We start from the raw sequence: 27,754 nt of genomic DNA on the forward strand, positions 1-27,754 counted from the left end.
GCTACGTGTGTGCACATGCCCTGGTGTTCTGGTTGGAATCCCAAAACACTTCACTAGAAGGAATAACACTACTAGGAAAAAAATATGAGGTTTTGGTACAGTTGATAAAAAACAAAGGTAACCCAGAGGTTCATCACACTACCTGCTGCTGGAAGAGAATTCACACCCACCGTTGGGGAAGTTAGCTAAGGTTAACTCAGGTTATCAGGGTGTACTGGCCAAAGTTGGTCCTCATCCTGGATCAGGGGCACCCATCTTACCTAAGTTGATCATGTGACCATCAAATTCGATAATGGATTTCACCTGCAGTTCAGGGTTTGAAGAAGTCACACAAATGAGTTTTTGTCAGTGGTTCATTTGTGTAATTCCAGTATGAGTTTCTTCACTCTTTTTTTCCCAAGTGTAATGCAGAGTCCAGAGCAGGAAGACACCCTTCTAGCTGTCATCATCTGGCTGCACTACGGCCTCATCTAAAGTAGGATTTCAGCTCCATCATGGGTCTGGTAGCTTCAACCCATACTTAGTGTGCCCCTTCTCCTCTTGGGATTGGTGTAGGAAGTATCTACAAAGCAACATCGTCTCTGTGCAAAGCAGTAAGTCATGGACAAGCCCTAGAAGGCTCAGAGCTCAGAGCCGTCCCAAAAGTGTATGGCCAGTGAGGGACAAAGATCATCATCAAAGATCCATCAAGCAGGCAGGTGGCTACAGCTATTGAGGCTACAGCTTTGGACAAAGGTGACTGAGACTAGCCAATAATTTAAATATTTACACGGCTGTTAGCAGCAGAGGATGCCTAGCTCTAGACAATGGCTGAACAATACGCCCGGGAATCAATACAAGCGTGGCTGGAAGAGAGGAATCTTGATGATCCCCCTTGCTAGCTTCTAGTCCAGTTTGTTAACTAGTCCCTCTTCGCTAGCTTCTGGTCTAGTTTACTAACTAGTCCCTCTTCTTACATATTGGGTTGCTCCAAGTTTTTGGTTCTCCTAAACCTGTACCATATTTGAAATGTGGGAATGTATATTCTATCTCATTAGCTTCCTCCTTTTTTTTTTTTTTTGGAGACGGAGTTTCACTCTTGCTGCCCAGGCTGGAGTGCAATGGTGCAATCTCGGATCACTGCAATCTCCGCCTCCTGGGTTCAGGCAATTCTCCTGCCTCAGCCTCCCAAGTAGCTGGGATTACAGGCATGCGCCACCATGCTGGCTAATTTTGTATTTTTAGTAGAGACGGGGTTTCTCCATGTTGGTCAGGCTGGTCTTGAACTCCCGACCTCAGGTCATCTGCCCGCCTCGGCCCCCAAAAGTGCTAGGATTGTAGGTGTGAGCCACAGTGCCTGGCCAGCCTCCTCCTTTCATAATTATCAAACAATTTTGGTGTCTACATCACACAAAAGCCCAATTCTGATAAGAGATAATGTTAAACTATAATAAACTTTCATATAACACTCATTGGCCAGAAACACGTCTCACATGAAGTTTAGTTTGTGAAGTAAGACCTGGCTTTGTAGACAGTGCAAGGTCGGAATATAGGAAGAAATATTTTAAATGCTTTAAAAATTTGTTATTTACATATCTTTAAGATCATTATATACAATTGAAGATGAAATTCAAATTGTTCAGCCATTTGACAGACAAACAGGGACAGATCCGTGGCTTATGAGCCTCGAGGGAGCTGGTGGCTCAGAAGAGCTGAGTTCTAGACAGTTTTAAAAAGAGAAAAAAAGTTGGCTGGGTGTGGTGGCTCATGCCGGTAATCCCAGCACTTTGGGAGGCTGAGGCAGGTGGATCACCTAAGGTCAGGAGTTCAAGACCAGCCTGGCCAACATGGTGAAACCCCGTCTCTACCAAAAATATAAAAAACTAGCTGGGTGTGGTGGCACGCGCCTGTAATCCCAGCTACTCGGGAGGCTGAGGCAGGAGAACTACTTGAACCTGGGAGGCAGAGGTTGCAGTGAGCCAAGATCGTGCCACTGCACTCCAGCCTGGGTGACAGAGTAAAACTCTGTCTCAAAAACAAAAACAAAACAAAACAGAAGTTGTAATACTCAAACGTAGAAATGAGATAGCTTGATCCAAGGCTGTGATATGAGCCTGTGATATGTGTCCAAGGGCAAAGGCCAGAGATGAGAGACGGAGAAAACAATTTCTATGAGCAAAGTCAAAGGTCAAAGACAAGTTGGTGAGGCTGTACAAATGGCGCTTTTCACCAGGAAGCACAAAGGTGAACGTGGAGTCCTCAAACACAAAAGGAAATGCACCTCCCAGATTCAAAAGGGAGCCAGAGGTCATGGTCCACTCTGGGATGGTAGAGGAAAGAAACAAATAAATTTTTTAAAAGCAGAGAAATACCACAGAGCTCTGAGAAGTTGTCTACAAGACAAGGAGCAAGTGGCAGTGTCTAGAAGGGATGGCTTAAAGCTGGGACAAGCAGGACTGGGGTCTCTCCTTTGCCAAAACGTATCTTTTCCCCTTTTCCTTAGGAAGTGACAGCAAAAAGTGAACTCAAGAAGAACCCTGGGGTCTGATGAGTCCCTGATACATAAAGTCTGTGGTTTTCTCAGAGCTATTCCCTCTCAGAACCTTCCCCAGCCTTCTGTTATCCCTGAGGATGGGGCCAGGCCCAGGACAAAGTATGTACTTGTCAAATCATGAGTTTTAAAGACAAATGGCTCCTTTTAAGCAGTTTTTTTCATTTACCAATAAAGACACTCATCCCCAGAGGGGTTAACTGACTTCCAAAGTCCAAGGGAGGGTTAGTGAAGGAAGCTTCTTGGTTCCTGGTTTAAAACTCATCTCAACACACCACACTGCCTTCCTAAAACTTAACTGAGAAAGATTTTTAAATATTCATCAGGAAATAGTCTGGAGAGGTGATACATGTACAAGGATATTAACTTCAGCCCTGTGTACTAGCACAAAAGACTTAAAACTACCTTACTGTCTACTAATAGGGGATGGATTGAAGAGGTAATGGTGTATCCATTCAATGCTACAATATACAGCAGCCCCCCTTTTTTTTATGGAATGGAGGTTTAATAGAAGAGAAGGGAAAGAGAAACAGCTCTCTCTATATATAGAGAGAGGAGTCTCTGAGTGGAAAGGACCCACACACCGCCTTTTTAAAAAGGAGGTTGGAGCTGAACATGGTGGCTCACGCCTGTAATCCCAGCAACTCCAGAGGATCACTTGAAGTCAGGAGTTCCAGGCCAGCCTGGGTAACACAGTGAGACCTCCCCTCCGCCATCTCTAAAAAAATACAATAAAACTAAAAGGAGGTTGATCTACGTATTTTGATATATAAAGACCTCCAGGATATGCTGTTAGTGAAAAATCAAGAGGCATGCTGCCATTTGTGTTGAAGGCCTGCAGAGGCACACATGTGCACATGCTCCCATCCTTGCCACCACTGGAAGGACACACCAAGAGTCCACAACAGGAGCTGCCTATGGGGGAGAAGTTCAGCGCAGGGAGAATGAGACTTAACTTCGTTGCCTCCCATTGATGGCTTTTGAATTTTGTACCACACAGCTGACCTCTGAATACGTCACACTACTTATTCAAAAAGTAACATAATGAAAACACGAAAATGTCTCTAAGGCCAAAGCTACACACAGATGTTTTGTTTTATTTTATTTTATTTTATTTTTTTTTTGAGACAGAGTCTCGTTCTGTCGCCCAGGCTGGAGTGCAGTGGCCAATCTCGGCTCACTGCAAGCTCCGCCTCCCAGGTTCACACCATTCTCCTGCCTCAGCCTCCTGAGTAGCTGGGACTACAGGTGCCCGCCACCACGCCCGGCTAATTTTTTTTTTGTATTTTTAGTAGAGACGGGGTTTCACTGTGTTAGCCAGGATGGTCTCGATCTCCTGATCTCGTGATCCACCCGCCTCGCCCCCCAAAGTGCTGGGATTACAGGCGTGAGCCGCCGCACCTGGCTTACACACAGACGTTTTATTAGTTAGTATACAGGTTGAGCTGCGTGGGCTCCAGTCCCAAAATAACAGCCGCTCACAACACAAGCACATTTATCTTTCGTGAAAAGGTCTCTGCATCCCTCAGTGGGGAATTTGTGCCCTAAAATGACAGCAGGGCTGGCTCCCTCTGTCCTGTCTCCCCTGCCCCCAGGATGCTGGCTTGGTGCAGGTGCTGTGGGATGACTTCCTACCACTGGTACACATATCCCAGCCAGCAGGAGGGATGAGTGGGGCCCTCCAGGTGCCCAGAACAAACTGTCACTGTGGAAGAAGGGGCCCACTGGCAGCCTTGGCCATGAGGGTCCAGCAATAGGGGACTAAATAAATAATGGTACCCTGTGTAGAACCACATGACGGGATGGCCAGCCAATTGACCTGACTCAGGTGCAGGCTGTGTGGTGACCTGGAAAGACATTCAGTTCCTTTCAAATGACAACAGATGAATACAAACAGTATACAGTAGGTGCCCCTTATCCTCAAGAAGGCGTTCCAAGTCTCCCAGGAGATGCCTAAAACCATGGCTAGTACCCACTCCTAAACTTCATAGCCTATGCACAAAGGTATTTTTCCTTTTTCACAATTTTATGGGTAGATTATTATTATTTTTTGTTAGTTTTTATTTCATAGTCATAAACTTAACTCTGCAATCCAGCTAGGCATGGAAGGGGGCAAGGAAAACATGGAACCCAAAGGGAAATGCAGTGAGAGCACAAAGATTCTAGGATACTGCGAGCAAATGGGGTGGAGGGTGTTCTTCTGAGCTACAAAAGGAATGGTCTGGTGGTTAAGATAAAACACAAGTCAAACTTATTAGAGTTGTCCACAGTCAGCAGTGGTGATCTTCTTCCTGCTCTTGCCATTCTTGGACCCATAGCGCTTCATGGCCTCCACAATCTTGATGCCTTCTTTCACCCTGCCAGAGACCACATGCTTGCCATCCAACCACTCGGTCTTGGCAGTGCAGATGAAAATCTGGGAATCGTTTGTGTTGGGTCCAGCATTTGCCATGGACAAGATGCCAGGACCTGTATGCTTCATGGACAAGATGCCAGGACCTGTATGCTTCAGAATGAAGTTCTCATCATCAAATTTCTCCCTGTAGACAGACTTGCCACCAGTGCCATTATGGCATGTAAAGTCACCACCCTGACACAAAAGCCCTAGAATAATTCTGTGAAAGCAGGAACCCTTATAACCAAATCCTTTCTCTCCAGTGCTCAGAGCACGAAAGTTTTCTGTCTTTGGAAACTTGTCTGCAAACAGTTCGAAGGAGACGTGCCCCAAGGCCTCGCTGTTGATGGCGATGTTGAAGAACATGGTGGGGTTGACCATGGCTGGTAGTACAGGGCTCCTGGTGGCGGTGGCGTCTGCAAAGCCTTTTTTGTTGTGTTTTTTTAAGAGATTGGGTCTCACTCTGTCATCCAGGCTGAAGTGCAGTGATGCAATCATAGCTCACTGCAGCCTTGAACTTCCGGGCTCAAGTGATCCTCCCGCCTCAGCCTCCTGAGTAGCTAGGAGTACAGGTGTATGCCACTATGCCGGGCTAGTTTTTTTTTTTTTTTTTTTTTTTTTTTTGTAGAGGCAGGATCTTGCTATATTACCCAGACTGATCTCGAACTCCTGGGCTCAAGTGATCCTCCCACCTTGGCCTCCCAAAGTGGTGGGATTATAGACATGAGCCACTGCACCTGGCCCCAAGGATTCCTTCTTACAACCACAGTATGTGATCTTCTTTTCTTATTGAGAACTTTCACCTTTTCACTTAAGAAAGCACTTTATGGCTTCTCTATGGTGTATCCAAATTGCCAGTGCCACTCCTCTTGTGCTTTAGGGCCATGGAAGTAAAGTAAGGGTCACTTGACCACAAGCACTGTGATTCCAAGACAGTGAATTTGATCACAGAGATGGCTACTAAGTGACCTGCAGGCGGGGACGCTGGCAAAGAGAAAAGTCGCATCCAGGGCGGGACAGGGTGGGATGGCCCCAGATTTCATCATGCTACTTGGAAGGGCATGAAATTTAGAACTTAGGAATTGTTTCTGGAATTTTCCATTGAATATTTTTGAACCAACGTTGACCAAGGGTAACTGAAACTGCAGAAAGCAAAATCACAGATAAGGCGGTGATGTGGTTTGGGTGTGTCCCCATCCAAATCTCATATTGAACTGTAGTTCCCATAATCCCCATGTGTTATGGGAGGGACCTGGAGGGAAGTAACTGAATCATGGGGGCGGTTACCCTCATGCTGTACTCATGACAGGGAATGAGTTCTCATGAAATCTGACGATTTTATAAAGGGCTTTCACCCCCCTCACTCTCATTCTTCTCTCTCCTGCCACCCTGTGAAGAAGGATGTGTTTGCTTCCCCTTCTGCCATGAGTGTAAGTTTCCTAAGGCTTCTCCAACTATGCAGAACTGTGAGTCAATTAAACCTCTTCCTTTAAAAATTACCCGGTCTAACGTACATCCTTATAGCAGCATGAGAACGGACTAATACGGGGCGGAGGCTACCATATTTGCATTTTTGTAAATATTTATAAATAGGAAAATGTATATATGAATATACCAAGGCATGGCGTTTTTGCTTAGTGATTCATTCGAATGTTCTACATTAAAAATGTGGTTTCAGGCCAGGCGCGGTGGCTCACGCCTGTAATCTAAGCACTTTGGGAGGTCGAGGCGGGAGGATCACAAGGTCAGGAGTTTGAGACCAGCCTGACCAACATGGTGAAACCCCATTCTACTAAAAATACAAAAATTAGCCATACGTGGTGGCACATGCCTGTAATCCCAGCTACTCAGGAGGCTGAGGCAGGAGAATTGCGTGAACCCGGGAGGCGGAGGTTGCAGTGAGCCGAGATTGCGCCACTGCACTCCAGCCTGAGCGACAGAGCTAGACTCTGTCTCAACAAAAAAAAAAAAGGTTTCGCAAAAAGAACTTTTTAAAAACTTCATTTGGAAACCAAAATAAGCACTCTGCTTTCACTGGTTCTTTCTTCAGTTTTCTTAAAATGTTAATAAATACCCCTAAAGTAGTGAAGAACAACTATCCCCCTGCCCTCCCAAAAAAAGAAACACTAAAGGAAAAAACTATGGGAATTTCTTATGTTAACTGAATCCCCAACCTTCTCTGGGAAGGTACTATATGAGCTGGAACACTGAGAGAACACAGCTACGGAAATAAAGAAGTCCCTATTTCCCCGGGGCACTGTGAGTTTAAGCCAGGAACAGAAGCGCACTAAACAAAACAGAAACTGTAAAGGTGACATCCAAATTCAGTCCTCGACTCCAACCAGGTTTTCTCCTAAGGCTGGGAAAGCATGACAGGCCACTAACTTACTCAAAGCATCCACAAAGAGCCACCATCCAGGGCAGACTGGGCATAGGCTGCAGCAATGGGGTACAAGAGGGCTGAAGTGGGTACCTCCCGGCAGCGCTTTCACCCAGGAGATGAAAAACCAGATTCCGTGGGCCATGTCACTTCTCACAGGAACCTGGCTTCGTGGAACTCTGAATGATGGTGATGCTGGGGGCAGGGGGCAGAGGCTCCAGAGAAAGGGGTGCTGATATGTACAAGGCTACAGGTAAGGCAGTCAGAAAAGAGATGATTAAGCCATGAAAGAAGCAAAAAAGAAAAAAACTTGTTACTAAGTACACTGATGCTATAAAATAAAAGGAGTCCTTTAAGGAACTAGAGACAAAAGAGTTCCTAATTATTGATTTGCAATATTCTTTAAGCAAAGAAATGTATGATTTTAAAAAAATTAATTCATTGACCCATTACACTGGTGAATTTTGGCTCCAAAGGTGTTCAGGTTGGTAATCAATCTATGACTTATAAAGAAAAAGACCTTGAGACATTATCAAATTACTCTTATTGAGAGTCCAAGAGACTGTAGTTTAGTGAAAAGCAACAGATTTACAGTCAGATAGACTTAAAAGCTAAGTTTGAATTTGAGTTATGGCCTGGATAACTTATTAAAACTGATAAGCCACAATCTCTTCATTTGTTATTGTAATGAGTCAACCAGGGAAAATATATAAGGCTGGGCACGGTGGCTCACGCTTGTAGACCCAGCACTTTGGGAGGCCAAAGGAGGGCGGATCACTTGAGGTCAGGAGTTCAAGACCATCCTGGCCAACATGGCAAAAATCCATTTCTACTAAAAATACAAAAATTAGCCGGGCATGGTGGCAGGCGCCTGTAATCCCAGCTACTTGGGAGGCTGAGGCAGGAGAATCTCCTGAACCCAGGAGGTGGAGGTTGCAGTGAGCCAAGATCACGCCACTGCACTCCAGCCTGGGTAACAGAGAGATACTCTGTCTCAAAAAAAAAAAAAAGAAAAATACATAAGCATATGCCAAGAGGTCAAAAAATTAGTTACCATTTAAAAATGTTGGGCCCTATATAGCAGACCAAAACTAAAAACTCTACAGCCAAAGTCCTCTCAATGAGAAGTAGAAAAAGAAAAGCCTTCACATATTCTTAATGCATATAAAATAAAGACAATTTGAAATAAATTTGTCAATGGGAATTAAGAGCTATTGGAATCCATTCTGCAAATCTTTAGTAAGTTACAAACACATGCAAGGTACCAGGTATTGCAAGGATTGGAGACTGAAAGTGCTGTCTCCATGCACACAATCTACCTGTGAGTAGACAGGCAGACACGCTGTGTTCTGCAAACATGTTTTGAGGTGTGTCTTAGTTCAGCCTGCTATTACAGAATACGATAGACTGATTACTTAAAGAAAAGACATTTATTTCTTACAGTTCTGGAGGCTGGAAGTCCACCAAGATCAGGGTGCCAGCAGGGTCAGGTTTTTGGTGAGGGCCTTATTCTTGGCAGAGCAACAAAGCACTGGACTCTATCTCTTTATAAGCATACACTGATCCGATTCATGGGGACTCCACCCTTGTAAGCTATTTACCCCCCAAAGGTGCCACCTCCAGACACCATCACGTTGGGGATTTAGGCTTCAACATATGAATTGGCAGGGAGATACAATTCAGTCCCAGCAAGGTGCCAGCATTGTTCACTATGTCCTTCCCTGAAAACTCCCTTTGCCCACAGGTCTCACCAAAGGTGTGGCCCTCAGTGGCCATGTTGTACCACACAATTCTCTTCTACCCCTCCCTTTCCCTTCTCCATCACAGTGGACTGGATCATGCCTGGATAATCCCTTTCTTGGCCAGAAACCAGTGAGATCCTTTCTGGAGAATCTGAACTAAGGAACAGATGCTTGGGGCAGTCTAGTTGACAGAGACTGAGACAGAAAGGGAGAGAGGTTAGAAAGACAGATGGACCTTGGGTACTTGACTTTCTATAATGTTTAATTCTAATAAAGTCCAGCCATACTTTATTTTCAGATAACCTATTGTATATTTAAATAAAACCTCCTTAAAATATTTATTTATTTATTTATTTATTTATTTATTGAGACAGAGTCTCACTGTCGCCCAGGCTCACTGGAGTACAGTGGCACAATCTCGGCTCACTGCAGTATGTGCTTATAAAGTGATCTCCATCTCTCGGGTTCAAGCAATTCTGCCTCAGCCTCCCGATTAGCTGGGATTACAGGTGCCCGCCATCGTGCCAGACTGATTTTTGTATTTTCAGTAGAGATGGGGTTTCACCATGTAGCCCAGGCTGCTCTCGAACTACTGACCTCAGGTGATCCACCCGCCTCGGCCTCCCAAAGTGCTGGGATTACAGGCGTGAGCCACTGCGCCCAGCAAAATAAAACCTTTTACTCTAGCTGGTTGGTAGATGCTACACACACATTAAGCAACAGACGCAAAGACCCACATCTCCCATTTGTGATTGTGGACAAGGAACTCACCTCTAGGAGCCACAGCTTGGGGCAGGAGAATGAGGGTCTTCCCGAGCAGAGGGCTGGGGAGATGAGGTGAGAGCAACTGGGAAAGATGTCACGGGAAAGATACACTCACTAAGAGCTACAGGGCTTCCGGCAGGGGTCAGCGCCTTTGGTCATAGTGGCTGCGGAAGGCTTCATGAAAGAAAGGACATTTGGGCTGACCTTGAACTTAGAGAAGAGGAGAAGAAAGATCAGGAGACACTCTCAGAAGCAGAGGAAGCCATGACCCACAGAAAGGCGTGAGCAGTAACAAATTCCTCTTGGTGAACAATGATGTCTGACACTGAATTCAAAGTTGTTTTCTGCGCTACTCTGTAATCAGACCTCCCTCCCTCCCCATTAGCCACAAACGCTTCAGCAAATGCTGTGCACAATAGCTGGATTTTAGTGATTCCTGGGAGGAGGGTGGTGAGAGACACAGAACTGAAGATAACCGTGTTCCACCCAAGGTCAAATGTTGAAGAAAAAGAGCACCCTAAGGACACACAGGCACAAGGAGCCCGGTGATGGGGCAAGTTGGCTGCAGTGTGGGTGTGCCTGAGGACCATGAAAACTTAAGACCCCAAGAAACCCCCATGAACATGTATCAGCTCAGGCCATTTTGTTTAGATAGTAAAGGAAAGGTGCCAGGTGCAGTGGCTCACACCTGTAATCCCAGCACTTTGGGAGGCTGAGGTGGGGAGATTCCTTGAGGTCAGGAGTTCGAGACCAGCCGGCCAACGTGGTGAAACCCCGTCTCTACTAAAAATACAAAAATTAGCTAGGCATGGTAGTGTGCGTCTATAATCCTGCCTACTTGGGAGGCTGAGGCAGGAGAATCGCTTGAACCTGGGAGGTGGACGTTGCAGTGAGCAAAGATGACGACACTGCACTCCAGCCTGGGCAACAGAGTAAGACTCCATTGCAAAAAATAAAAAATAAAGGACAGGCGATCCCAGCATGTGAAAGGACATGGAAACCCTTTGGTAATAGAACAACAGGGAAAAAATGCCAGAAGCTTCTAGACTGAAAACAAGTTAAAACAGACAAAAAGAATAAGATTACCTATAAAAGACAGAGAAGCAGAGAAAACAGCATCTGGCCAGGCACAGTGGCTCACACCTGTAGTCCCAGCACTTTGGGGAACCGAGTCAGGTGGATCACCTGAGGTCAAGGTCAGGAGTTCGAGACCAGCCTGGCCTGGGTGACAGAGCGAGACTCTGCCTCAAAAATCAAAAAAAAAAAAAAAAAAAAAAAAAAAAACACAAAGAAAACAACATCTGTACCAGTAAATACTGGAAGATATTAAAACGTTTATGGAGTTTCAAGGAAAACGATTGTTATCATAGAGTCACATGCACACCCAGGCTATGTATTATGTGGGAGGGGAAAAGAATGGCATTTTCAGACATGCAAGAACTCAAAATACATCATCCACGCACTCTAAGAAAAAAAATCATGTGAGAATGCTGTTAAAGAAGAAAAAGACAGGATGTGTTTTATTTTTTACTTTTATTTTTTTGAGACAGAGTCTTGCTCTGTCGCCCAGGCTGGAGTGCAATGGTGCAATCTCGACTCACTGCAACCTCCACCTCCTGGGTTCAAGTGATTCTCCTGCCTGCCTCAGCCTCCCGAGTAGCTGAGATTACATACGCCCGCCACCACACCTGGCTAATGTTTTTTTGTATTTTTAGTAGAGATGGGGTTTCACCATGTTGTCCAGGCTGGTCTCGAACTCCTGACCTCAGGTGATCCGCCCACCCCGGCCTCCCAAAGTGCTGGGATTACAGGTGCGAGCCACCACGCCTGGCCGGGAGGATGTGTTTTATAAAGAACGATGGAAACCCATAAAAACAATAAAGCTGTCAGGAAAGTCTAAAATGTTTTTGTTAACAGGAATGTGAAACATGTAATAGTTAAGAAAAAAGTCTCTAGTGACACAAGGGCAAAAATAAAAGAATTACAATTCCAGGTTATTTCAATTAAACCTAGGAAATGAAAAGAAGTCAAAATATCCTACATGATTTTTCTTGTGAGATGGTAGAATATTTTAAATAGTGGTTAATTTTTTGATATGGATAAAGAAATATAGATGAAAACATACTTGTTCAAAATGTACAGATCGCCGGGCACGGTGGCTCACGCCTGTAGTCCCAACACTTTGGGAGACGGAGGTGGGTGAACTGCTTGAGTTCAGGAGTTCGAGACCAGCCTAGACAACATAGTGAGACCCTGTCTCTACAAAAATACAAAAATTAGCCAGGTGTGGTGGCATGTGCCTGTAGTCCTAGCTACTTGAGAGGCTGAGGTGGGAGGATCACTTGAGTCCAGGAGGTCAAGGCTGTAGTGAGCTGAGATTGTGCCACTGCACTCCAGCCCAGATGACAGAGTGAGACCTTGTCTCAAAAAAAAAAAAAAAAAAAAAGTGTACAGATAATCCACAGAAGAAAAAAAGAATGAAAACTAGACATATTCTACCAAAGACAGGAAATAAAATACAGAAATTTTTGAGTACCAAGAAAGCTTATAAACAAAATTCAAAGACTGAATATGATCTGAGCTGTCCAGTATGATAGCCACTAGTCACATGGAGCTATTTAAATTTAAATTAATTCAAATAAAATAAAAACATTCAGCTCAGTCACACTTGTCACATGCAAGTGCTCCATGTGTTGATGACTGCCCAACTGGATTACTATCACCCCAGAAAGTTCCAGCACACAACAATAAGAGTCAGCGAAACATACATGGTAACAAATGCACCCAGGTACAGTAAGATCCCAGCGATGTTAAACACACACACATATTAAAAAGTGAGTTCATTAAACTATCAGTGGTGACAGCTCTGGGAAATAAGGTGACCAGGGGCTTTCACTCTACCTTATATACCTTATTGTTTGATATATATATATATTTTATTTATATATATATTTGATTTATATATCTCTATGTATTTGATATTATATATCTGTATTTGATATTTATATATCTCTATATATTTGATATTTATATATCTATATATTTGATATCTTTTGATATTTATATATGTGATATATATAAATATATACATATAAGAGAGAGATATATATATATGTATATTTTTAGACAGAGTCTCATTCTGTTGCCCAGGCTGGAGTACAGTAGTGCGATCACAGCTCTCTGGGCTGAAGCAATTCTCCCATCTCAGCCTCCCAAGTAGCTGGAACTATACGCATGCACCACCATGTCTAGCTCATTTTTTATTTCATCGAGATAGGGTCTTGCTATGTTCCCCAGGTTGATCTTGAATTCTTGGCCTCAAGCGATCCTCCACCTTGGCTTCCCAAAGCACTGGGATGACAGGCATGAGCCACCACACCTGGCCCTATTGTTTGATTTTTGAATAAGCGTATTTTTAAAACGTCATTAACATGTTTTCAAAGAAAACAACAATCAATTTCTTGAACTTGGAGTAGAACTTGGTTCTGTTAAAATAAAGTGATTTTAACTAGTATAGATGTATAACGTACATTTGCACTAACAAACAAAGATGGCAAAGTATGTGTCCTATATTTAGACAACCCTGGAAAAAATTTGTTCTGGGCCAAAGGGTGACATCACCCATTCAGATGCAAGTCTTAGCAGACACTTGATCATTTCAAACAGTAGTTCTTGATTTGAGGAGGTCCCTCAGGCAAAGACTGTCGTTAATCTATTTTTCCATTTAGATTTATACAGTTGATAACAGATCAAATTTCAGAAAGGGCAGCTTTGAGTTATCCCTAAATTTTCCATAAGAAAAACTTATTGCAAGTCATAATGTTTCTGCATTTTCCCACTGATACCACACAGCTGACAAAGGGGAAGTTCCCAACTCAATTTCAACAACAGACATATGAAGTCAGATACAACAACATAGTGCCCAAAGAAGAACTTCCTTTTTTTACCCCCTAAATTGGGGATGGTAGAAGACAGATTATGTTCTTTGTTAAAAGAATTCCAAAGTTTTCATCTTTGTCCAATACCAGATCTTCAATCTTTCTAAGAAAAAGAACTCTTAAAAACGTCTTAGGCCGGGGACGGTGGCTCACGCCTGTAATCCCAGCACTTTGGGAGGCCGAGGCGGGCGGATCACAAGGTCAGGAGATGGAGACCATCCTGGCTAACATGGTGAAACCCCGTCTCTACTAAAAATACAAAAAAATTAGCCAGGCGTGGTGGCGGGCGCCTACTGTAGTCCCAGCTACTCCGGAAGCTGAGGCAAGAGAATGGCGTGAACCTGGGAGGCAGAGCTTGCAGTGAGCCGAGATCGCGCCACTGCACTTCAGCCTGGGGGACAGAGCGAGAATTGGTCTCAAAAAAAAAAAAAAAAAAAAAAAAGGTCTTAACCCTATTTCATGTCTACCCCAGGGACTAATTTAGTCATGTATCTGCCAACAAAAACATACTCACCTATGTTTATTTTGGTTCCTATATAAATCTTCTTAGTAGCTGCTTCCAGTGAATATTGAGGGAAAAGCTCTCTTAACGGAAAGCTATGAGAAACATCTATTTTTCTAGGAAGTATATGCTCTCTGTAAGTCAATGTTGGTTAAGCAAGGGGACAGATTTGGTTTTGTTACCAAAGTTCAACACGAATTTTATTTGACTCTGTCTCCAACAATGGACCATAACATTAGCTCAGTAAGAGATCATGACCAATACCAAATGTATTTCATAACTGGAGAAGCCGGACATCAAAAGGACAGCGAGAAGACAGTGGGTTCTAAATAATTCTTCAACAATTTGGCCTGTCCTCAATGTCCCCAAAGCCCTTCAGAAGAAAGTAACAGAAGGCAAAAACACAGCAAAATGAGGGAAGTATTAAAGATCCTTGAGCATCTTAACCTCAGATCCAACGGTGAAAGCTCCTAGGAAATTCATCCTCCAGGCCGGGCACCATGGCCTGTAATCCCAGCACTTTGGGAGGCCGAGGCCAGGGGATCACCTGAGGTCAGGAGTTCAAGACCAGCCTGACCAACATGGTAAAACCCCATCTCTACTAAAAATACAAAATTAGCCAGGTATGGTGGCACACGCCTGTAATCCCAGCACTTTGGGATGCAGAGGTGGGGATCACCTCAGGTCAGGAGTTTGAGACCAGCCTAACCAACACGGTAAAATCCTGTCTCTATTAAAAATACAAAATTAGCTGGGCGTGGTGATGCACGCCTGTAATCCCAGCTACTTGGGAGGCTGAGGCAGGAGAATTGCTTGAACCCGGGAGGTGGAGGTTGCAGTGCGCCAAGATCGTACTATTGCACTCCAGCCTGGGTGACAAGAGCAAAACTCCATCTCAAAAAAAAAAAAAAAATCATCCTCCAGGTCACCTTTTTGTACCACTGCCACCCATAGCAGAACAGAAATCTTCAGTAATCTGGACTATTTCTAATAATTCATATAGGAAGCTGGACTGAGGTTAATTTTTATCTATGTAGAAAGTCTTTCCAGGCTCCTTCAAGCTCTTTATAAAGACCTACTCCCTAATTCTAATTGCAAATCGTGTGTTAAAGTAAGTTATATAAAGATGTCTTTAGGCAATCCTCTATTAGCCTGGTTCTAATTGCCAAACATTGTTTGAAAATAATAAAATTATACTTGTCTGAATATAGTCTCACTAATTAAAACTGACAATCCCTTCTTCCCCCATGTTTTTTGTAATTCATGAAAGTTTTATAGTGGTTTGCCACTTCCACGCTTGGGTGGACCAAAAAGTTAAAGAGTACATTTAACTCTTTACACTGGCTTACACCTGTAATCCCAGCACTTTGGGAGGCCGAGGCAAGCATATCACCTAAGGTCAGAAGTTCGAGACCAGCCTGGCAAACATGGTGAAACCCCATCTCTACTAAAAATACAAAAATTAGCTGGGTGTGGTGCCACGCGCCTGTAATCCCAGCTACTTAGGAGGCTGAGACAGGAGAATTGCTTGAATCCAGGAGGCGGAGGTTGCAGTGAGCCGAGATTGCACCACCGCACTCCAGCCTGGGTGACAGAGAAAGACTGTCTCAAAAAAAAAAAAAAAAGGTACATTTTCCATGAAAAACAAGATATAAAGACAGTGAGACTCAAGTATTTTATAATACTTACGCCATTGCTTTTAATTAAACATAAAACATCTGATATTTCATTCATGGACTCTTAGCATTATCTATAAAACGAAATACCCTTTTTAGTCCATGAAGAAAATTCCATGAAAATAAAAGAACAGCATATGCAGTTTTACATATTTAAATACTTACATTTTGGTGCAAAACAAGACTCTAATTGGGTATTTTCCTTTTATTTGAGGCTTTAGTTTCAACTTAATATGTCTAAAAGGACTAGTAAATACATTATACTGAGTGGTGGGGTAAATGAATTCTTTCAGGCCACAAGGGCACTATTCAGTAAATTACCTCTCTGCACTGGCCGCTGCCTGGTGGCCTCAAATTGACAAACTGCCTTTAAGAGGTGAAACATGTTCTTACTGATTCATCCAAAGGCTCATTATTTGTTATTTATTTAAACTGATGGGAATGAAGAGGCCGAGTATAGAAAAAGAGTCTTTCAAATTTTAACATTTACAAACTTGAGCTACTTAAAGAAAACCTAGGTTTCTACTGCGATATCATCAGTACATGAGCCAAATAAAACACATTTACTCCCCCAAATTTGGCACACATTGTCTAAATTCAAATCCAAACAGGCAATCCAAGGAGAGCAGTCATTTGGAGTTTTCCTAATCTCCTTACATTTAAATAGAGTACAATACATCCATTATGTTAATCTTTTCCCACTAGAAGCTATTAACATGGTATCTGCTCTTGGTGAAAACATTTCAGTCCATGGGGCATCTCTAAATTTTGATTAACCTTTCTAATATATAAAATGTGCTGATATACAAAACTGAAAACTTCCGAAGGCAGCACAGATGCCTCTGGGTGCTACTCTGGGAACTTTAGCTTCTTGAAAGGTGTCGGGGGACAGGCTCAGATCAATGCGCACACAGATGAGGAATTCTTTGTACCAGGGGCATTCTCAACAGTGTAAGCAAAGAAGTCCTAATCAAGCCCCCAACCTAGAATATCAATCAAAGGAGGAACAATAAACAGAAATTACAGCAGAGAAGATAAAAGTCCAGGGTCTCTCCAGAAAGAAAACACAGGTACTGAAGCTAATCCATCAGCTTGCATCTGCACCTGGGCCCATTTCTGGCAATAGAACTACCGTTTCAAAAACATATTTGTATTTAGCTATCTATCACAAACACGTTTCTATCCCTGCATAAACAGGGCTCAGGTTCAGATTCCTATGCAATTTCCTTTCCTCTCTTTAAAAAAAAAAATATTCTAGACTCGAACATTCGATACTTGCAGCCGCCACTGAAGTATTCACGGCAAAGATAAAAACAACTTGCAAATGGGAGATGCACATAGTCAGCTTTTCTTTTTCTTCATTTGTTAATATTTTATAATGAATTAGAGGTCAGTCAAAAGTCCCTTTCTATAATAAATCTTAAAGTAGACAAGTAGAATGCAAATGATTTACACTTTCAATGATCAATCATTTCAAGAATCTCTCTACGAACTGAGTAAACCATCTGTGACTCAGGCCTCCCTATCATGTTTTTTAAGCTGACCCACTTCTCCATCACTCACCATGGTTCGAAAAATCTCACTTCTAAGGGTGTAGCAAGAACCGCTCTGTGCCAGCGCATAGTTTGAATCCAATAGGGTAAAAGGGTAATGTAAACAGCACTTTAAAAGGACACCAGTTTTTATTTAAAATGACCCACTGCCTCTAAAAAGAGAGCATCAACACCGGCCTTCACCTGAAGCAATCCTTTTCTCCAACAGAAGAGCAAATCAAGTCTGCAGGGTTCGGGGGCAAAGGGAAAGGATTAAGAAATCCGATCAAGTGTGAAAATGCGTGGTGCATCGAGTTTTGGAGATCAAATACCAGCTTTGCAAACAGGATACGGCCAGGTCAGCGGGAGCCCGGTTCAGGGGATCGGCCCTGCTCTGAAGAGCTCTAGGGACAGGCGAGGCGGTGCAAAGCCCAGTATCCCCAGCAGGGGCCGGGCCCGGGACCCCCTCGGCGCCAGAACTTTGCGCAGTTCGCCGCCTGCGGCCCCGACACCATCGGGGCACCTCCACGCCGCTCCACCCACGTCTTTGCCCATTCTTTTCGGGTGGCGGCTGCGGAGAGGGAGTCTGAAGGGACTTAACAAGGATGGCAGGGAGCAGAGGAGGGCGACCTCCTACCCCAGGCTGCGGCCGCCACAAAGGGAAGGGCGTAGCGCCTCTCCTCGGCGCCCACCGGAGCCACCCGCGGGCGAGGGCAACAGGCGCCTCCTGGGCCAGGCCGCCGGCGGGGATGGGCGAGGCTGGCCGGGGGCGCGCGGCAAGTGACAGTAGCGTCTCCCCGCCCGGGCCCCAGCCTCCCCGCCCACCCCGGGCCTCGCCTCCCCGCGCACTGCACTCTCCCGCGAGCCGCGCGCCCCGGACCTCACCATGGGCTCCGCGCCACGGAGAAGCCATCGCGGGGCGGAGCGGCCGAAGAACCCCCAGTCCTGGGAGCCACCCCCGAACGGGAGACCGTGGCGCGCGCGGTCCCCGCCCTGTCGCGCCCGGTGCGCCAGCGCGCCGCCCCTACCCTTTGGCGTGCTCCGTCTCCTCCTCATTGTCCCCGTCTATCCCGCACGTGTCCTGGTCGTCCAGTTCCAGGCTCTGCTGGCTGGCCGCAGACTCGCTGTCCTCCGCCATCGCGGCGGCGCTGGCTGGGGAGGCGGTGCTCGGGGCCGGGCCGGAGCGGCCGCAGCTCCCTCTAGTGCCTCCCGCCGTACTGCTTGGAGTCGGAGCCCGGGCGCTACGCCCCGCCCCGCCCCGCCCGCGCCCCGTCCCGCCCTCCGTCCCGCCCCCTCCCCGCCCTCCGTCCCGCCCCGCCCTCCATCCCCGCCCCTCACCGTCCGCGCCCAGCCCGCCGGCCCCGCCCTGCCCGCCGGCCCCGCCCTGCCCCACGGGCTTGAACCCCGCCCACCTCTTCGTCCCTCCCCACCAAGCCCCGCCTCTCCCCGTCCCGCCGGCTTCAATCCAGCTCTCTAACCCCGCCCGCCTCTGAGACCCCTCCCCTCCAGCCCCGCCTTTCCCCACCCTGCCGGCTTCAAACCCGCCCTCTAACCCCGCCCACCGCCGCAGCCCCTCCCAGATGGCCCCGCCCCTCCCCGCCCCGCCAGCTCCAACCCTGCTCACCCTGGCCAGCCCTGCACAGGGCCGAGTCCTGTACATCCAGGCCTGCGCGGTGCCTCTGCCTGGGGCTCGGCTCTCAAAGCTGCAAACGTGCAGACTTGACATCCTGAGTGGCGGCATTTTTGGAACACAGGCCATGCGATTTTACTTCTGGACGAATTAGGGAGCGCTCCCAGCCCGTGCAGGGGTTTTTCCCACTCAGGAGTAGGCACTCAGGGATGGGGCTTTCCAGAAACTCTTCCCGCCCCTCCACATACATGTTAACAATTCCATTTCGCATCTATCTATCCATCTAATACATTATAAAATCAAATTCAAAGTCAAAAACAGTATTTCCAGCCCTCCACCGCCCTGTCCCAACCAGGCTTGCAGCACTAAAACTCTTGACAGAAATTTTTGAGCTACCCCTGCTTTCCCTGGACACTACTACGGACGGCTCAGACCAGAACAGACATCTTGAGGGACTTGGGGACGTGTCCACGATGCTGGGGGATTGGACAGTTTCAGGTAGGCTACCCTGGCTTTCCCAAAGTCAAGGTCATGACCTAGATTTCCAAGCAAACGTGCACGGCCTTCTGTGCTGAAATTGTCCGCTGTCTCTCTCAGAAGAGGGAAGGGAGGCATTCTGTAGTACTGCCAAATAGAAGACCGGTGAAGTTCAGCCTCTCTTATTTGCTACTGCATTCTGTACAGAGCAGTCCTGTCCTTTGCTTTGCTGAGATGATCTTGTTCAAATGTGCTGCTAGGCCACCGGAAGTCTCCGCAGTGGTTTTGCAAAGATAATCATCAGAACCCGCTCAGTGAGGAAAATGAGACTTTAAAGAGCCACCTGAATTTTTTGGTGTGGGTCCTTTTTTTGCAGAAGATACTAGGAGCATTTTATGGCTTTTTTCCCCAAGGGAGACTATGTTTTTAAAACGCAATGAGCTAGAAGTATCAAAAGATGAAAACTGCAGAGCGATTTCAAAGCCCGTCAGCTGTTTGGCATTGAGACAACTAAAATTCTGTAAGAAGGGCAAATGGGGTCAAAACACAAAAGGAAATACAATATTGCCTTTAACAACGGCAACTATTTCTGAGGCAAAATGTCACATGTCACCTCTGTGAAACTTTAGGATAGAAGCAAATACAGATGAGTGAGGTTCCTGCAGCTCATCTCTGTGAACATGGATTGTTGGAGAACCCGCAGCCCGCTCGGGTAACCAACAGGAAACTGGCCAGGAGCAAGCCTATCAATCAAATCATCCACTCTAACCTGCCAGAAGGGTTCTCTAAAAGAGTTTTTAAAACTTAAGGCAAAGGAAACTCAGCAGTCATATATTTATCTGAATTTTCAAGAAGTTTTGACTAAGAACTGCTCTAAAAAAGAATAAGAAAACAAATAATCCTGGAAAAATAAAATGAGGGCATCAAAAACCAGTGAAACACTAGAAAACAATGACAAACAGGGAACATCTGTTCCCCAGAATGGAAACAAGTTGGTACAGTACTGGATTGAAGTACATCGGTACAGTACTGGATTGAAGTATTATATAATACAAATGTTTTACAGCATTAATCTTTGGAAGGAAGGAAAAGTTTACAGATGACCCTGGGGCTTCCTAAATCCTACTGTCCCGTATAGAAACACTATGTTTCTAAATATTTTTACTTATTTCCCTGGCTTAATTTCAGAATTTGGAGAATTGGAACCAAGTGGCAACTTCCAGCATCTTAGATCTAAAGTTTATTTGGTGGATGGGAGCACTGTGAAATGGCTGCCAGTGTATTATTTTTTCAAGTTTCAGTTATTTATTAATCAGTGTAATCTCCAATAGATTACATCAACATGATTTCATTCATTTAGAGGAGAACTATTTCCTGGTGAAGTGGAAAATTGTGCGGACGGATTCTGGAAGACCTTCAGTCTAAAGCAGCTTTATAGTGAAACATTTCATTTAGAAATCTGGACCTTCTTTCTTCAGTTTGCTGTGATCCACATTAATTGAGTAGAACTTGAATTGATCATCGGGACCCAGTTTGTTCCAGGGATCTGGGTGATTCTTTCAGTCCCAACTAACATCTGGATTGAAAAATGCCAGACGCAAGAGATACAGTCCTGCTCCAGTACCTCTAGCTCCAATAAATACTAAGAGGGAGATCAAGTTTGGATGCTTCTTGGCCTGACCGATGATCTGGTGGAGCGTGTCTGCGGCAGAGGCCTCCAATTGGAAAGGAGAGAACCAGCCTAGCCACCAGGCCCTGGGCTAAGTAGTATCTTGCCAGTGTATTTTAAAAGGCCTTTGGGAATTTTCTATTCTGCCTGGCCCACTCCTACTACAGATGTAAGATTATAGTTGTACAATTGGTCTTGTTTCATTTAAATTGTTTTAACTTCTTTTTTAATTTTGGAAAAATACATACAACATAAAACGTACTATCCTAACCATTTTTTTTTTTTTGAGACGGAGCTTCACTCTTGTTGCCCAGGCTGGAGTGCAATGGCACAATCTCAGCTCACTGCAACCTCCGCCTCCTGGGTTCAAGCGATTCTCCTGTCTCAGCCCCCCAAGTAGCTGGGATTACAGGCGCCCGCCACCATGCTGGGCTAATTTTTGTATTTTTAGTAGAGACGGGGTTTTGCCATATTGGCCAGGCTGGTCTTAAACTCCTGACCTCAAGTGATTCGCCCGCCTCAGCCTCCCAAAGTGCTGGGATTACAGGCGTGAGCCACTGCGCCCGGCCTGGAGTGCTTTATTATGCAGTAATAACTAACCAACTTACAGAAAAACAAAGACCAAAAGAAATCCTTAGGCCGGGCGCGGTGGCTCACGCCTGTAATCCCAGCACTTTGGGAGGCCGAGGCGGGCGCATAAGGAGGTCAGGAGATTGAGACCATCCTGGCTAACACGGTGAAACCCTGTCTCTACTAAAAACACAAAAAATTAGCCGGGTGTGGTGGCGGGTGCCTGTAGTCCCAGCTACTCAGGAGGCTGAGGCAGAATGGCGTGAACTCAGGAGGTGGAGCTTGCAGTGAGCCGAGATGGCGCCACTGCACCCCAGCCTGGGTGACAGAGCAAGACTCTGTCTCAAAAAAAAAAAAAAAAAAGAAAAAAAGAAAAAAAATCTTAAAGACACTCCTTTTTTTACTATCACGATCACTATCTGTATATCTGGGTATGTCTGAAAAAGACTTATGCCAAACCATTAGTTTGCACTTTCCATTCTGGGTTCACAAAAGCAAAGCCCATTACTTTTGCAATACACTAGCTATTCTTGCTAGCTGGTTTGCTTTAGAGTCTGGCTGGATTTTATTTTATTTTTTAAGTGACTCCGTTTCTTTTTAATTTTTGAGGAACCCGGTAACTACCCTGCACCATTTGCAACTGTGCGTTGGAGAAGCTTTTCTCGTGGTCACTGTGAGGGTAATTTGCACCTCCTATTGCTTGGTATTCTGCTAAAAGGTTTTCATACTTGTTCAAACCAGCAGGTTGGTGCCACAGTGAGTATTGCAGATCAGCTGCATTTCAGAACTTCACAGTTGGTGAGTCTGTGTCTTGTCCCTGTAGGACAAGTTGGGGCTTGCGGGTGATGCCAAGGAAAATTCTAGAGGAAGCCGAACAATGCCACAGCAGATGGAAGTATGTGTTCATTTAGGAGGTGGAAGGTGCCTCCATTCTATAAATAGGGTCACCTTGAAACTGCACTGCTTGCCAAACTCCTTAAATGTGTTCAGGTTTTCCCCACGAGTATATCACTGGATAGTTTATTGCCAAACTTCATTAGTTATTTTATTGATAAGGATGATATATTACAGAAGTACACTGTCTCATCAGACATTTTTACTCGAAGTAGAAATACTAAAGGAGGCAAAAGGATCTGTTCTAGCCTGTCCACAATTAGAGCTTCTGGCCCTTTCAGGAAGAAAGGATGGAGGAGAAAGTAACTGATGAAGAAAGTGAGGGCAGTAGGTAAAGAAGAGGAAAGAGATAGAGGAAAATCAGGAAAGGGAGGAGGAAACAAAGAAGGGGAAGAGGTGAGCGCCAGCTGTATACACACCAAGGGCTGCAGCAGCCTCCAGATGCCATGTCTCCCTGCATCCAGGCTCCATCACTCTTTTCAATAGCGCTGCTTGGAAAATTCTTCCATAGCAATCGGAGCATGTTCATCCCCTGACTTAGAAACAATGTGGCTCCCAGTTGCCTTCTGCATCAAGTCAAATCCCCCTAGGTTGGTGTTCAAGTCCCTTCCACACCATAGCCTCACTGTACCTCTGGTCTTAGCTCTGACCTGAGCCTCTCCAGGCCCTCCATATGCCCCGGGCTCCCTTCCTCGTCTCTGGAGGCACCAGGCCCTTGAATGCCCTTTCCTTACTACCTGCCATCACCAAGGACACAGCTCCCATGTTGCCTCCCCTGCCGAGGGTTTATATGTTTGCCATCATCCCAGCACTAGCCCAGCAGCTCCTGAAGAATCATACGTCATGTGCTTCTCTCTGTATCTCCATCACCCAAACAGTGCCTGTAACAAAGAGGACACTTCATAAGAGCTATAGAACGAATGAATGAATCTATGACACCCCTTTTTTCCCTGTTTGCCAGCCCAATATCTTTCTAAAGCTGTTTTTAAATTTAATTTTATTTTTATTATTTGAGATGGGGTCTCACTCTGTTACCCAGGCTGGAGTGCAGTGGCGCGATCTCAGCTCACTGCAATCTCTGGTCCCAGGTTCAAGCAGTTCTCCCACCTTACCCTCCTGAGTATGTGGGACTACAGGCATGTGCCACCACACCTGGCTAATTTTTGTATTTTTTGGTAGAGACAGGGTTTTACCATGTTGACCAGGCTGGTCTCAAACTCCTGACCTCAAGTGATCTGCCTGCCTCGGCCTCCCAAAGTGCTGGGATTACAGGCATGAGCCATGGAGCCCAGCCTTAGCTGTTTTTTTTTTTTTTTAAATTAAAATTATATCTCTTTTGAGACAGGGTCTTGCTCTGTTGCCCAGGCTAGAGTTTAGTGGCAGAATCACAGCTTACTGCAGCCTCGAACTCCTGGGCCCAAGAAATCTTTCCGCCTCAACCTAAAGTTGCTTTTAGTGGGCACCTAATAATATAGCCCATGGAATGTATGGGCTGTGGTGTGATATTTCCATATATACATACAATGTATAATGATCAAATCAGAGTAATTAGCCAAAAAAATCACCGCAAACATTTGTCCTTTCTTTGCATTGGAAACATTCAAAACCTTCTCTTCTAGCTATTTGAAAATATACAATAAATTGTTAACTATTATCTGCCTATAGTGCTATAGAACACCAGAATTTATTCCCCCTATCCAACTACGATTGTGTATTCATTAACCAGCCTCTCTAGTCCCCCTCCCCACTTCCCTTCCTAGCTCTAGTAACCACTGCTCTACTCTTGACCTTTATGAGATCAATTTTTTTAGCTTCCACATGAGTAAGAACATGAAGAATTTATCCTCCTGTGCCTGCTTTATTTCACTTAACATGATATCCTCCAGGCCATTTTTTTTTTTTTTTTTGAGACAGGGTCTCACTCTGTCACCCAGGCTGGCATGCAGTGGCGTGATCATGGCTCACTGCAGTCTCTACCTCCTGTGCTCGAGCGATCCTTCTGCCTCAGCCTCCTCCGGAGCAGCTGAAACTACAGGCATGCACCACCACATCCAGCTAATTTTAAAAATTATTAATACTTTATAGAGACAGGGTCTATGTTGCTCAGGCTGGTCTGAAACTCCTGGGTTCAAGCAATCCTCCCACCTTGGCTCCCAAAGTGCTAGAATTATAGGTGTGAGCCACTGCACCTGGCTCAGGACCTTTTAATAGTCTAGTTGCAGAAGTATTCAGACACAATTTCTCCTTACCATAGATTTTCATAAAAACTCAAAGTAAAGCGATAGGATGGAGAGATAGTTTTACTTGTTTCTTCTGAAAACAGAGATTTCTTCCAGGAATTATATGTGAGCACACAGTTGTTCACACTCCTTCAACAACAAAATATGTGGCAGTTAAAGAGAGAAGCAAACCTGACTAAAAAGCAAAAAAAGCCAGGTGCAGTGGCTCATGCCTGTCATCCCAGCACACTGGGAGGCTGAGGCAGGAGGATTGCTTGAACCCAGGTGTTTGAGACCAGCTTGGGCAATGTGGTGAGACCTCACCTCTACAAAAAATAAAAATAAAAAATTTGCTGGGTGTGGTGGTGCATGCCTGTAGTCCCAGCTACTAGGGAGGATGAGGACAGGAGAATCACTTGAACCCGGGAGGCGCAGGTTGCAGTGAGCCGATATCGCGCCACTGCACTGCAGCCTGGGCAACAGAGTGAGACTCCGTCTCCAAAAAAAAAAAAGGCTTTTATCCAAAAGTCAGGCAATAAGAAATGCTGGTGAGGATGTGGAGAAAAGGGAACACTTGTACACTGTTGGTGGAAATGTAAATTAGTATAGCCACTATGGAGAACAGTTTGGAAGTTCCTCAAAAAACTAAAAATAGACCCACTATGCGATCCAGCAATTCCACTGCTGAGTATATACCCCAAAGAAAGGAAATCAGTATATCAAAGAGATAGCGGCACTCCCATGTTTATTGCAACACAATAGCCAAGATTTCGAAGTAAACTAAGTGCCCATCAACCGATGAATGGATAAAGAAAATGTGGTGTATATACATGATGGAGTACTATTCAGCCAGAAAAAAGAATGAGATCCAGTCATTTGCAATAACGTGGATGGAACTAGAGGTCATTATGTTAAGTGAAATATGCCAGGCACAGAAAGACAAACTTCGCATGTTCTCATCTATTTGTGGGATCTAAAAATCAAAACAATTGGACTCATAGAGACAGAGAGTAGAAGGATGGTTACCAGAGACTGGGAAGGGTGGGAGGAGTGGGGGGAAAGAGGGGATGGTTAATGGATACAAAATATAGTCAGAAGGAATAAGACTAGTATTTACTAGCACAACAGGTGACTATAGTCAATAATTTAATTGTACATTTAAAAATACCTAAAAGAGTATAATTCGATTGTAACCTAAAGGATAAATGCTTGAGGAGATGGGTACCCCTTTTAGGCTGATGTGATTATTACACGTTGTATGTCTGTATCAAAATATCTCATGTAACCCATAAATATATGTACCTACTATGTGCCCACAGAAATTAAAAATTAAAGGAAATAAAGAAAATTTTCCTCATAAAATATTAAGGGAAAAATCCAAAAAATGTAAAAAATCAACCACGCAAACCCTAAACTCATTAATGAAAAAATAAACTACTACTTTGCCTGAACTTGATCAATTCAGGTTAACAAATGTTCAGGAGTGCTGAGCTGCAAATCCACACTTCACTAGGTTCAGCTTCCTAAAGGTCAAAGTTCCAGCAGGAAGCTCTCCCTAGAAACCAAGCTTCAGGAATAAAAAGCCAGAAGAAGGGAAACTGTAATTTGGGAAGGGTAGTTCCATCTGATCTACAGCCAAACCAGCCACTCGCAAAATCTAGAACAAGCGGCAGTTCTCTGGTCTCAGGTCACAGCAAAAAATCCTTGCAAAATTGGAACTATTTGCTAAACTTGGCATTGCTCTCACTGAAAGGTAAGTGAAACAAACAAAAAAAAGGTGATTTTTATATCTAGTTTTTCCATTTTTAACAATAATAACTACTGTTTAATAAAGTCCCCTGGTATATTAGACATCTGTTTTACACATATTATTTTAAAAATTCTCCCTCTTAATATATATTATTTAATTATTATTATTATTATTATTTTTGAGACAGAGTCTCACTCTGTAGCTCAGGCTGGAGTGCAGTGGCAGGATTTCGACTCACTGCAACCTCTCCCTCCCAGCTTCAAGCGATTCTCCTGCCTCAGCCTCCCAAGCAGCTGAATCACAGGCGCACACCACTACGCCCAGCTAATTTTTGTATTTTTAGTGGAGACAGGGTTTCGCCATGTTGGCCAGGTTGGTCTCGAATTCCTAACCTCAAATGATCTGCCCGCCTCAGCTTCCCAAAATATTGGGATTACAGGTGTGGGCCACCGTGCCTGGCCTTGTTTATTATTTTAATTAATTTTTTTTTAAGACAGCGTCTCACTTGCTGCACAGTCTAGAGCATAGTGGCATGATTACGGCCCACTGCAGCCTTGACCTCCCAGGCTCAAGTGATCCTCCCACCTCAACTCCCCAGTAGCTGGGACTACAGGCATGCACCACCATGCCTGGCTAATTTTTTTATTTTTAATTTTTTGTAAATGGGGGTCTTACTACGTTGCCCAGGCTGGTCTCAAACTCCTGGGCTCAAGCAATCCTCCCATCTTGGTCTCCCAAAGTGTTGGGATTACAGGCATGAGCCACCACACCTGGCATCTTAATAGATTTTAAAGTGCATACACATTACAGTGTTATTAACTATAAGCACAGTCTTGTACAGCAGGTCTTTAGCACTTACTCATCTTGCATAACAGAAACCTTAAACCTTGATTTTTCATCCCTAAATGGTCTGAAAAGTTTACTCTTCTCATTTTTCAAGGCGAAAACAGCGCGAGAGAGGTTAAATAATTTATCCAAACTTACTAAACAAATGCCTTAAACAAAATAGAAACCCAGGTCTGTGTATCCCTAAAGCCTACAGGCTTCTCTTATTTTGCTCAGTACTTTTTTTTTTTTTTTTGAGA

The 27,754-nt window shown here is 44.7% G+C and overlaps 1 protein-coding gene, 1 long non-coding RNA gene and 2 pseudogenes across 10 annotated transcripts in view, besides 2 other annotated features; all 4 read right to left on the minus strand.

The window, feature by feature from the left end:
* The window catches only part of NMT2 (N-myristoyltransferase 2), a 62,994-nt gene extending 44,315 nt beyond the window's left edge, over positions 1–18,679 (minus strand). For 7 of the 8 annotated variants that reach the window (XM_047426019.1, XM_005252642.6, XM_017016949.3 and 4 more), the window contains exon 1: positions 18,489–18,679. In XM_047426019.1, coding sequence (XP_047281975.1) covers positions 18,489–18,598 — 110 coding nt within the window. In that variant the 5' untranslated portion in view covers positions 18,599–18,679. Of the gene's footprint in view, positions 1–9,818; positions 10,023–18,488 lie in introns of all 8 variants that reach the window. The other variant, XM_024448262.2, reaches the window with a different exon arrangement.
* On the minus strand, positions 4,708–5,333 carry PPIAP30 (peptidylprolyl isomerase A pseudogene 30; annotated as a pseudogene). The gene has a single exon (NR_036506.1). The product of NR_036506.1 is annotated as a peptidylprolyl isomerase A pseudogene 30 (transcript).
* Positions 16,322–16,522: a silencer, noted in NCBI's record as "peak871 fragment used in MPRA reporter construct". NCBI's record gives its function as "represses an SCP1 promoter by STARR-seq MPRAs in K562 erythroleukemia cells {active_cell/tissue: K562}" and the evidence as "EXISTENCE:reporter gene assay evidence [ECO:0000049][PMID:32103011]".
* Positions 18,049–18,878: a silencer, noted in NCBI's record as "silent region_2169". NCBI's record gives its function as "represses an Ori minimal core promoter by ATAC-STARR-seq in GM12878 lymphoblastoid cells {active_cell/tissue: GM12878}" and the evidence as "EXISTENCE:reporter gene assay evidence [ECO:0000049][PMID:35858748]".
* On the minus strand, positions 20,850–22,440 carry LOC124902566 (cytochrome c oxidase subunit NDUFA4-like; annotated as a pseudogene).
* A 389-nt stretch (positions 22,441–22,829) lies between these two features.
* Positions 22,830–27,754, minus strand: part of LOC105376434 (uncharacterized) — a 34,557-nt gene continuing 29,632 nt past the window's right edge. Inside the window, exon 4 of the long non-coding RNA XR_930699.2 lies at positions 22,830–23,581. This is a non-coding gene — a long non-coding RNA (uncharacterized LOC105376434). The remainder of the gene's footprint in view (positions 23,582–27,754) is intronic.

Source organism: Homo sapiens, chromosome 10 (genome assembly GCF_000001405.40).
Source record: "Homo sapiens chromosome 10, GRCh38.p14 Primary Assembly".
Lineage (NCBI taxonomy): Eukaryota > Metazoa > Chordata > Mammalia > Primates > Hominidae > Homo > Homo sapiens.